General features: G+C 41.4%; 1 annotated feature.

The window, feature by feature from the left end:
• Nucleotides 828-1,329: an enhancer, noted in NCBI's record as "NANOG hESC enhancer chr18:22355329-22355830 (GRCh37/hg19 assembly coordinates)". NCBI's record gives its function as "activates a minimal SCP1, AML or CMV promoter by ChIP-STARR-seq in primed H9 embryonic stem cells {active_cell/tissue: H9 hESC(primed)}" and the evidence as "EXISTENCE:reporter gene assay evidence [ECO:0000049][PMID:30033119]".

A 12,505-nucleotide genomic window follows, 5' to 3' on the forward strand; every position in this document is an offset into this window, starting at 1 on the left:
TGGACCACATCTTCATGTCACTGACTTGTGCCTTCAGGGCCTGTTCAGGCCTGATTATGTATATACCACTTCTGTTTGATGGTGGAGTTCTGCTGTGTATGTCCAACTTTATGACTTGGTGGGTTAGATGAAATTCAGTTCGTGATGGGTAGCTCAGGTTGCCTAGTAACCTGGTGGCCCATGTTTAAGCATTTAGTTTCTACTAAGGGCCAGTAGTAGATCAAGAACCGTTTCTCAAAAGGAGAGTAGTTATCCACAGAGGATGGCAGTGTTTTGTTCCAAAATCCTGAGGGCCTGAACTACAGTTCACCTATAGGGGCCTGTCTAATGCTCCAAACAGCATCTCCATTTACCACTGGCACCTCAAACACCATTGGATCTGCTGGATCATATGGCTCAAGTGTCTGAGCAGCTTGCACAGCAGCCTGGACCTTTTGCTGAGCCTTCTCTTATTCTTAGCCTCATTCAAAATTGGTAGGTTTTGGGTCATTCAATGAATGGGGTGGAGTAAGATACTCAAAGGAGGAATGTGTTGTCTCAAAACGTCCAAAGAGGCCCACTTGGCATTTTGACTTTTTTTTTTTTTTTTTTTGGTTGTAGGGGAGGTCAACTGCAACAACTTATCCTTCACTTTAGAAGGGATGTCTTGACATACTGCACACCATTGAACTCATACGAATTGCACTGAGGTGGAAGTCCCCTGAATTTTTGTCATATTTTTTCCCACCATCTGAACATGCAAATGTCTTACCAATAAGTCTAGAGTAGTTGCTACTTTTTGTTCACTAGGTCCAATCAGCATATTGTCATCAATGTAATAGACTGGTGTGACATCTTGTGGAAAGTAAAGGCAATCATGATCCTTGTGAGCTAAATTATGACATAGGGTAGAGTGTTGATATACTCCTGAGATAGGACAAGGTATATTGCTGGCCTTGTCAGCTGAAAGCAAACTGCTACTGGTGGGCCTTATAAACAGGTATGGAGATGAAGGCATTTGCCATATCAATGGCTGCATACCAAGTACCAGGGGATGTGTTAATTTGCTCAAGCAATGACACCACATCTGGTGCAGCAGCTGCACTTGAAGTTAACACCTGGTTAAGCTTGCAGTAATCCACTGTCATTCTCCAAGACACATCTGTCTTCAGCATAGGCCAGATAGGTGAGTTGAATGGGGATGTGGTGGGAATCACTACCTGTCTGGGCTCTCCAGAGAAACAGAGCCAATATGATGTCTCTATCTATATATCTACATCTACATCTGTATATCTATATACATGTTTATTACAAGGTATCGGCTCATACAATTACGAGGGCCGATAAATCCCATAATCTGCCATCTGCACACAGGGGACCCAGAAAAGCTGATGGTGTAGTTCCTGTCAGAGTCCAAATGCCTGAAAACCAGAGAGCCAATGGTTTATATTCCAGTTCAAGTCTAAAGGCCTGAGAACTGGGAGTGTCAATGGTGAAGTCCTAGTCCAAAGGCAAGAGAATATCCAGGTCTCTGCTCAATCAGTCATGCAGAATGAATTCTCCATTCCTCTGCCTTTTGGTCTACACAGGACCCCAGTGTATTGGCTCCTGCCCACCCACATTGGGAAGGGCAATCAACTTTATTCAGTCTACCAACTCAAATGCTAATCTCTTCTGGAAATGCTCTCACAGACACACCCAGAATAATGTTTAATGAAATATCTGGACACCTCATGTCTCACTCAAGTTGACACATAAAATTAATGATCACATCACCTCTGATCTTTCAAGCCCTTGATGGTGCACTAATCTCTGTAATTCTTCCAGGAATGCAGTGCAGGTTGAGTATCTCAAATCCAAAATCCAAAATGCTCCAAAATCTAAACTTTAAACTGACTTGATGCTCCAAGGAAATGCTCATTGGAGCATTTTAAATTTTAGATTTTCAAATTTGGGATGCTGAACCAGTATGTATAATGCAAATATTCCAAAATTAAAAACAAATCCCAAGTAAAAAACTCTTCTGGTCCCAAGCATTTTGCATAAGGGATACTGCATTTGAATTGCATTTGGTTTACTATTTTTCTATGTAGAGGTAGTTCCAGTGGCTTCCACTTGGCATTTCCCATCACAACAGCCCCCACTTTACAAGTCATGTAGTCAGTGTGGGGATTTTGCCACCTGCTGAGTAGATCTGCTCCAATTATGCATTCTGAAACTGAGGAAAGGCCACAGGATAGGTTTAGGGACTCACTGGATCCACTGTGGGATGGATCTGAGCTAAAACTCCATTTATCACCTGACCTCCATAAGCTCCTGTTCTACCTAGAGAGCCACAGTGACATTTTGAATTTTCTGGAATCAGTATCAGTTCAGAAACAGTGTTCAGTAGTCCCTGAAAGGCCTGATTATTTCTTTTATTTTCCCAATGTACAGTTACCCTAGTAAAAGGCAATAGGAATGTCCCCATTCCTACTTACAGAATCCTGCTGGGAGAAAGATTAACAGTACACATTTTTGGTAGTGTACTTGGGTCCTTCCTTGAGGGGACTCAACCTTCCATTTAGTCAAAGGGTTCTGGGTCTATAAACTGGCTCAAGTCTGGTAGTTGATTGGGGGGCTATGACTCTCTTTTTACTGTGATTTGAGTTAGACGTTTGTTCACTTGATCTAGAACTTTTCTGCTTATACAGATCAAGTAAGAATTTAGTGGGCATCTATCTATTTCACATTTAGGAACGCTGTCATTAATTAGCTAACACCATAGATCTGAGTAAGTCAGACTATTCTGATTGCTGCTTTGACTCTACTATTACAGTTACCACACCTGCTTTGCCTCTGGCAATTGAGTGCTGCCACTTGGCCTTTGCCACCCCATCCCATTGCATTTAGATTTCCCAACTCTGTCTGCAGTCCATATTATCAGTTTTGACCTACAGAGAAGTGATTGCAGAACTCAACAAGGATGCTATGTTTCCTGTCACAAATTTACTTCTCACAATAGTGGTGAAAGATGTCTTATTGGAGGCCCATCTAACTCCCTGAGCTGCAACATTAAATGCAGAATCTCTGCTTGGTGGACTCTTGTCAATAAATTCAGACTGATCTAATTTAACGTTCCTTCCACCATTATCCCACACCTTTAATATCCATTTCCACATATTAACCCAGATTTCTGGTTGTATAAATTAGAAAACTCAAGTAGTTCTGGAGTATAGCACATCTCCTCATGGGTCACAATTTTTACCTCACCTGCAGGGGCCTTTTGTGACTTGAGTCTATTTATAGGTCAAGAATCAAGGACAGGTAGTAGAGGTGGGTCCTGAGGAGAATCAATATTGTCTTCCATGACAACTGCCTCAGAGGAGGCCATTATAGTTTCCTTGGGCAATGAGGGGTTACTCCCCTCAGATGAGATTGGAGAAGCCACTATCCCTCTACCAGTGAGGGTGCTTCTACTGGGGATGAGGAGGTCACTTCCACTGGTGGTGGGAAAGCCTCTTTCACTGGCAAAAAAGACTCATCACAATTTAAGGGCTCAATATCCCCACCTTCATCAGGGTCTTCTCATATGTCCCCATTCCTACTTACAGAACCTCATTCTTTCCTTATCAGTGGTCTTACTCTAACAATAGATACCCTGTTAAGATGTGAGTTACATTTGTATTGTGATTCAGCCAGCCACAGGATGAAATTCTGCATTTGATTTTCAGCAATCTGAGCCCTGTGGCTACAGGAGATAAGGGTCTCCTTCAGAGCACACATAGATCTCTTCAGATTATTTACGCTTGAGCTGGAAATTCAAGTCCCTGAACTCATCTTTGTCTTTCACTACTTTGTTCAGCAATATTAGGAGCAATCAGCCAATTTAATAATAATATTAATTAGTTTTCCAAAAATGTTCAAAAGTATCATATACACAGTCACCCAACTCCTTATTCTTATAAATGGTTAATTAGGAGTATCCAATGATGATATTTTGTGTCCCTATTACCTGATCACTCTATGGCCTATCATTGCACTCTTTGCTACTTGAAATAGAGTTACTGGTATCTTTAGATCTAATTGAATTAGAGAGCCAATTCCAGAAACTCTATAACAAATTTAGAAAACTCATCCTTAAAACTCTGTTCCTCTAGAATCATTCTTGGTACCTAAATTTGTATTAGTCTGCATTCTCCAGGGAAACAGAAGCATCTTTCTGTCTCTCTCCCTAGCCCTCCCCCCCACACATATAGTGTTTTGTATATAAAATACACATATAACATAAAGTGGTTTATTATAAGGAATTGGCTCATGCAGCTAAAGAGGCTGACAAGTCCCAAGATCTGCTGCTGGCAAGTTGGAGGCCCAGAAAAGCTGATGGTTTAGTTCTGATCTGAGTCTGAAGGCCTGAGAATCAGGAGAGCTGACAGTGTAAATTCCAGTCTGAGCCAGAGGCCAAAGGTGGCAGAAGACTGATGTTCCAACTCAAAAATAATGAGCCAGCAAGCGCGCAAATGTTCCTTTACTCGGACTTTGTTCTATTCGGGTCTTCAATGGATTTCATGAAGCCCACCCACATTGTGGAGGGCAATCGGCTTTATTCAGTCTACAGATTCAAATGCTAATCTCTTCAGGAAATGCCCTCACAGACACACCCAGAATAATGTTTAACCAGATATCTGGGCACCCTGTGTCCCACTAAGTTACATCACAGGTACTATGGCTGACAATTCTCTAAACTTGGCAGCTCTGTCAGCCTTGGACATAGTGATGATAGCAGAGATTTAGAGCAGAGCCCTAGGCAGGCAGGTAGCATGAACAAGAAATCAACCTCTATTGTTTCCAGCTACTGGGGTTTTCCGGTTTTTGTTACTGTAGCATAACTTAACTTCTCTCAGTGAGATGGGCAGCTTGCAAGATTAAAAAAAACAAAACAAAACAAAACAAAAACTCTTGAAAGGTGTGTAAGGAGCACATTACTAATATATTCTTGCTAATCTGACAACTCCCAAATTTACATTCCTAACTCATACTTCTTATCTGGGCTCACACTTACCTGTCTAACTGCCCTCCTTGACACATCTACTTGGATGTCTCAAAAGATGCTTCAAAATCAGGCCTGGGGTGAACTTGTGAATATTTCCTAAACCTGGATTTTTTCCAGTCTTGTGTCACCTGTAGCACCAGCCTGGTCTCTGTTACTTCAGTCACTGTCATCATAAACTTCTCTCTTATTTCATGGGAAATCTAATGAGACATAATCTTTTCATCACAAAGCCTTGATGATTCTACCTCCAGAACATAGCTTGTCTCTCTCCGCCCGTCTCCATCTTCATTGTCAACATTCTAGTCAACGCCACCACTACCCATCGTTTAGATTACTGCAGTGGCCCCCAGTGTTCTCTCCATCTCTCTTGTGTCTTTTCAACTGACTCTGCATAATAACCAGAAAGATCTTCAAAAAATATGAATAAGATCTTGTTTATACCCTTAATGGCTCCACATTGAAACTTAGAATAAATTTCTTACTGTGGCCTACAAGGTCCTGTGTGATCTGGATTCTCCTATCTCTCCAGCTTCATCTCTTACCTGTCTGGCCCTGACAACACTAACCATCTCTCAGTTGCTAGAACAAATCAAGTCTTTCAGGCATGAGGGGCTTTGCTGTTGCTGTTCCCTGTGGAATTCCCTTCTGTTGGCCTACAAATTGCTTATTCCTTTCTATCTCTTAGTCTCAGCTAAGCAAGATGAATAAGCTCTAGAGATCTGCTGTACAACACTGTACCTATGGTCAGTGACACTGTACTGTACGCTTAAAATTTGTTAAGAGGGTAGATCTCATGTCAGTGTGTTTATTACAATAAAAAGGGTAGGTCTCACTGTTATTTTCCAATTGTTCCTATTCATTTCTTTGAGAGTACTTACCACAACGTGCAAATTCATTTAATTCACTTAATTCCTTTTTTATGTGTGCATTGTTATTTTCACTAGAATGAAATCTTCAAGGGGACAAGAGTCTCGTCAATCTTGTCATCATGACAATCCTGGTATCCTGTGAAATGAAAATATGTAGAATGTTTTCACAATATGTTTGAATGAATGGATGAATGAATGAATGAATGAATGAATGAATCCTTATTTCACAAATGAAGATAAGACTTAGGAGGCACATGACTTGCCCAAAATACACACTGAGTGGCAAGCCTGGGTCTCCAATCACATTTTCAAACCCTGCAGTCTGTGCTTTGATTCCACATAACATAGACTTTCATGTTGCCACCTGAAAAGCAGAAAAAGGTAATGTTCTTGAAATCCATTTTTTTACCAGAATCCTATGTACGCTTCCCTTTTCCCTCACCACTAAAACGGGTGGCTTTGCAACACCAGCAGCCTGGCTAGTTTATTCATTTTTCATATTATAAAATGTTATTAAACTGCACCACACAGATAAGTACTAGAAAAATTGCCAGGTTATTTTCCTAACATAAAATTAGCCAATTTGCCTGTGTATGGGATTGGAAGGGATGCAAAGCATCCCATTCAAGTGATTAACCTCTTAGTTAATAAAAGCAACAATTTCATGTGTATAAATAATATAATAAAAGAACATTCATATCAAAGTTATGTAGCCCTCCCCTTCCTGTGTTCATCTCCTTAATTGGTAAATAATTCATCACACTCTGAAATGAATTGTGTTCCCACCCACATTTCTTCATCCAATTATCATGAAATAGGAAAGCAGGCTCTTTCTCCCTTTGGAAGGCATGAGATAATAAAATTGTTCAGGGCTTTCCTGAGCCTGTGCTAGGATAGACATAGAACCCAGCCGGCATGGGCCTTGTCAGGTAACTGAGCAGTGCTTCTTGAGGCTCAGAAGAACTGAGCTTGTCCTTTCAGTTTGACCTCCTGCACCCAAAGTTCATGTATTTGTCTTTCCACTAGAGTGCCCATAAATATTACCTGTTGTGAGTGTGACTTTCAATAGAAGAAAGAGGCTGTGTGAAAGAAGCCAGTTGGCTGAAAATTTTAATATGACTTTTGCATCAAATGAGTTGCACAGATCCATTTTTACAATGCTGATGAGCCACAATTCCTGGACACGGAAATGTCCTTTTATGTTGTAAATTATGTAAGATTATTGCTGAAAGTTTCTTGTGGGAGCTATAATTTTTTCCCCTTTGGACTTCTTCATGTGTGGAAAAAACCCTACATTAGATATAAATTAATATACTCTTGGGCTGATGACCTTTGGTTTTTTGCCTTTTACCTTTAAATTAAGGTAGAATAATGCCCAACATAGTGCAATTTGCCTTTGCAAAACTCTTATATGTATGTCACTATAATTCCCAAGGATGGTCTTGCTAATAAATCCCATTAAAAAATCCCTTTTTTGAATCGTTTTCGTTCCTCTCATGAGTTCTGTTTAGAATTTTATCACTATCATATGCAACAGCTTTAACTTTGTCGTAGATAGATCACAGAGGTTGTGTACTGAACTTACAATAGCAGTGTTTATACCTGGGGTTTCTTTATTTTCCCTCCAATGCATTAGAGTTTTATGGAAAAAGATAAAACAGTTACTGCCTCCTTTACCACAGCTTTTTGAATAGCCTCTTCAGCTTGAAGTTTATGGATGACGAAAAATCATCTTAATTTGCAGATGGTGGAAGCACTGTTTTCTGGGCCTTAGTCTATAGCCAAGCAAAGGGGGAAATGGAAATGTCAGCAGCAGCATTTATGATGGACTCGGTGGGGAAACTTTTCCTTTTGAGTCAAGATGGCGCGAATTACCCAAGTGGGCTGGTGAAATGTTGTGAATGAGATTCAGCCATGAGCTTTCATTCTTCTTCATTGTCAGTTGCTCAATTACAATATTCAGCTTTACCTTTTGTACAATTTGAAGTTGTAGCCTATATTTTTGCTTAAAAATGATAGCTTGAAGACAAGACATTTTAATTCCTCTCTAAAAATGTCCCCTTCTCTTTTCAAATAAATAAGCTATTCTTCACTCTTGCTTGAGAAACGGTATTGTGAAATTCTGGTTATTTCTGCTACTTACGGCTGCTCTACAGAGACAAAGACATTTCTGTAGAAATGAACAATGGGAAAAGAACTATACCGGAATTAGATTGACTGGACTTGCTCAAGCAACTATGTCTTAATCTTAATTAACCAGCTTTTGACATCTGGATGCGGGAATTGCCGGCTCTGTCACATGAGGACTTTATAATCAGTGTCCTAGGGGTGGCTATCCTGAGAATTTTTCTCTGTAGAGTAAATTCTTTCTATCAGACACTGTACACAATATCCCAATCCACAGCAGTGAAACTTTGATCAAGGTCAGGACAAATGGACTTGGAAGAATTTCTAGTTGAGAAGGGCAGCTATTTTTTTCTGTGACTGGCAGGAGAGCAGCTTTTCTTTAATTGGGAAGGGCATACTCTAAGAGCAAGGTGCAGATTTGGGGGTGGTCTTCCCATGGCATGCTGAGCACGAAGGCCTGCCTGTCTAGCCAGACTGATCAGCAGAAACAGCTTTCTTCTCCTCAGATCCATCTCCAATCTGATGATTAGCAGTGCTCAGCTAAGGATTAGAGAAGAGACAGTCTGCTGCCAACAAGCCCTTTTTCTAAGCAAGATCGTGAAACACACAACACTTGTAACATTGATTTTGGTGGCCCTCTCCCAGACCCCCCAGTCTCCCTCCTCCTGCCAGATCTCCACCTCTCTTGGTTGCTTTTTCTCCTTTTGCCTCATCTTCAAAATCTAGCTAGCCATTGTCCTGGTCCTTTAAAAGTCCTGATCTCACCACCTTGATAGTAGAAAGGGACCAGGGAACTAACATGTACCAACCTTCTATGGTAACCAGCCCTTGTTTAAGAAGATACAGCTGTGCTTGCATTTGAGCCGCAGTTACACATATAAGCCATCTCTATTTTACGGATGAGAATACCGCGTTTCCCAGTTGCCTAACAGCACACAGCAAGTAGAGTCAGAATTGGAATAAAGTGTCTCTGACTTCAAGGACTATGCTCACCTTACCCTTTCTACTTCATCCCTGCAAGGTTACATAATTTCTTAAACCCAGTTAAAATTCACTTATTCACATATAACATTTTATAGGATGAAGTTTTCAGTCTGAGACAGGTTGACAGGGGAGAGCTTTCTGATCAGACTAACTTCAGACCCAGAAGGCAGGGAGTCCCTCAAATCCTTCCACATGGCAGGCTGCCTCCTCTGTCTTTACTCATAGGTCCAGTTTTGACAGGGACCAGGTCATGACCCAAAAAAATGTGGCTGATTTTGTATAATTTCTGTTTCATTAGGTGACATTTTGCCCTGCTTTCTGTGACTCTGATATTTCATGTAGATTTACACATTTGCCTTCCTAACTCAGGCCCTATTCATCCACTCCAGAAATTACCTGGACTGCCGTGTTCTGACATAGCCTGGTTCTCCACCAGTGGTCTCACCTAGTGCCCTTTGGCTCTGTTGTAAGTATGTGGTTCATTTGCAATCATGTTTCCATTGTCTCACTGTTGTAATGTTCTAAAACTCTGCCCAGTCTTTTTTCACAGTTCCTTATTCCTTTTTCTGCCCATTACATTTGTGCTATTGGCTCCATCTTCCTTCTCGCATTCTCCAGTATTGACATATACTTTTATTTTTTTATACCTGATGGATGCAACAGGGTGTTAAGTGGGATTTTTCTTGTGGTCTGAGAGCTAGAACCCAAACCCGAGAACAGGTATGCATTAATTGTCTTCATCTTCTAAAGGAATCTGTATTAGTCTGCCCCAGCTCCTTAACAAAGTACCACAGACTGGGTGGCTTATACAACAGACATTTATTTCCTCTCAGTTATGGAGGCTAGAAGTTCAAGATCAAGATGCCAGCAGGGTTAGTTTCTTGTGTGGCCAATGTCCTTGGCTTGCAAACAGGCACATTCTCACTGTCTTTACGTGGTCTTCCCTCTCTGTGTGTCTGTCCTTATCACCTCTTCTTATAAGGGCACCAGTCATATAGAATTAGGGCCCACTCAGTGGCCTCATTTAACCTTAATTACCTCTGTAAAGGCCCAAATCTCCAAATACAGTTACATTCTGAGGTACTGGGGGTTAGGACTTCAACATGTGAATTTTGAGGAGACACCATTCAGTTCATAACAGGATCCAATGGTAAATGTGTCTGGATAGCTCCTTGGGGCTTCTTAAAAGGTAACCATGCTGATGGGGCATGGTGGCTCATGCCTGTAATCCCAGCACTTTGGGAGGCCGAGGCAGGTGGATCACCTGAGGTCAGGAGTTCAAGACCAGCCTGGGCAGCATGGTGAAACCCTGTCACTGCTAAAAATACAAAAATTGGCTGGATGCAGTGGCACATGCCTGTAATCCCAGCTACTCAGGAGGCTGAGGGAGGAGAATCACTTGAGCCTTGGAGGCGGAGGTTGCAGTGAGTCGAGATTGCGCCATTGCACTCCAGCCTGGGTGACAGAATGAGACTCCATCTCAAAAAAAAGAAAGGGACCATGCCTTTTTGTGCTACCTTCACAATCATTCCACCCCACATATATGTAGGAGAAAATCACTGGGTGGGTAAGTGAAGCGGGGACAGGGAGTTGGTCAGCTGGAATGCAGTATTTGTAGTAAAGAGATTTCCTCTTCCTTTCCTGTGGGGGTGCTGACCTCCTTTGCCTACAAGCCGCATGAGGGAAATACCAAGAGTATTACTGGTAAGGATTGGATGTGCCTATAAGGAGTGGTGACTGTCATCCCAGCCCTGGCTCGGTGCTTGCAGAGTCTGCTCTAGTGCTTTCTGGTGGAGAGGAGTAGGTATGAGGAGAAAGCTCTTGAGAAGGTCAGCTACTGTCTTTGAAGTTTGGAGGTCCCCATGACCTAGTGACCATTGCCCATTTTGGTTTCCCTTTAATCTTCAAAGGCACAAAGCTTGCTGGGATAAATAGCATAAAGAGACTGGAAGAAGATGGGGATACCTTTCAAATGCCAATTCCCTGAATCCCTTGGAGGGCACAGAGAATCTGCATTGGTCTCAAGAACTCAAAAGAAGAACCATGGGGATTAAAAAGGAGGCACGAATCATAAAACATTCAGGTGATTAACAAGAGTTAGCTCTGCCTCCTTCCAGAGAGAAGGTTTGGGGGCACTGAAGAGTGGCAGGGACCAAAGAAAGGTGTGACTGTCCACCCTCTCTGAAGGGGTCCTTCTCAGTATTGGGAACTGTCCCAAGAAAACCATGGACACTATTTGCACATGGGGGAGCACTGCACAGAAGATAACCCCAAACCAAGCCAGAGGAAGACCACTCCCAGAAGTCAGCCAATTATATGAGATAATATCTGCTATCTCTTCCATCCTTCTTCCTGACTTCAGCACATGGGATGGGCTAGAGATCTAGATGGAAGAGGAATGTGAGGTGTCCCCAGAACAGACTAGATCCTCCACTCCAACCCTAAGGTTGGGGAGGAAGAGAATTGAGAAGACGATGTAACTGTCCTCTTGAGCTGATGCCTTGCTACCTCTTAGTAAGTGGAAAAATTAAATATCAATTTGGAGAAGAGATCACAATGTTGGACTATACTGGGATGAATATTTAATAGCTGAAAATGCCTGGAAAGCTGTGAGTTTTGCTGGGATATTTGAGGTTGGAAATGGAGATTTGACATCAAGGTGAAGGCAGCAATTTGAGAACAATAAAACCATTGTATCTAAATGCAGTTCAGACCATTCAGTCATAAATTGTATTTGATTGCTGTTGAAAAGCCACAATGAATGTTATTGTTTGGCAAGAATAATTCCGTCGGTCATTCCAAGTCACTGGTTAGATTTTAAGGTACAATTGGATTAAAATAGATAATTAGGAAGCACATTTCTCATTATTCAGGATGGATTTAGCTGATTCACAACTTCAGTTGCAAGAGATTAGACTGCAAAATTAGAGATTAGATTGAAATATATTAGACTGAAAATTTCATTTTTTATTTTAGTTTGCCTTCTCCCAGACAGTGTGTTGACGTGGAAGCTGTCAGGGCTCAGAAGATCTGGGGTCTAATGGCTCCATCCATAACCACCTATATCAAAGCAGTCACATCTTAGGAACTTATGGTATCTTGATTTCTTTCCATTGTTACCCTAATTCAGTAAGCATTCGCAAAGTATCTTATGAGGATAGCGGCTTTAGAATTAGACCATGTAGGTTAGAATCCAGGGGCTATAATTTACTGGCTGTGTGATCTTGGTCAAGCTACTTATCCTTTCTGAGGCACTGTTTTCTCATCTTTAAATGTGGATGTGGCAATTGAACTGGGCCACAAAGAATCAGTAGAATCTCCTCTGTAAATTGGAGTATTTGAACTATGTGATGTTTAAAACCTCTTCAATTCTAAAAGCCTATTCTATATAACCCCACAGGGAAGAGAATGGATTTCAACAGAATCGTGTGGCTTCAGATGATAAAGAAGTAAGAATTTCCAGGTTAGATATCAGATATAATACTTACAGAGGTTCTGGATTTGTCCTCCTAAT

The sequence above is a fragment of the Homo sapiens genome, chromosome 18 (genome assembly GCF_000001405.40).
Source record: "Homo sapiens chromosome 18, GRCh38.p14 Primary Assembly".
In the NCBI taxonomy this organism is placed as follows: domain Eukaryota; kingdom Metazoa; phylum Chordata; class Mammalia; order Primates; family Hominidae; genus Homo; species Homo sapiens.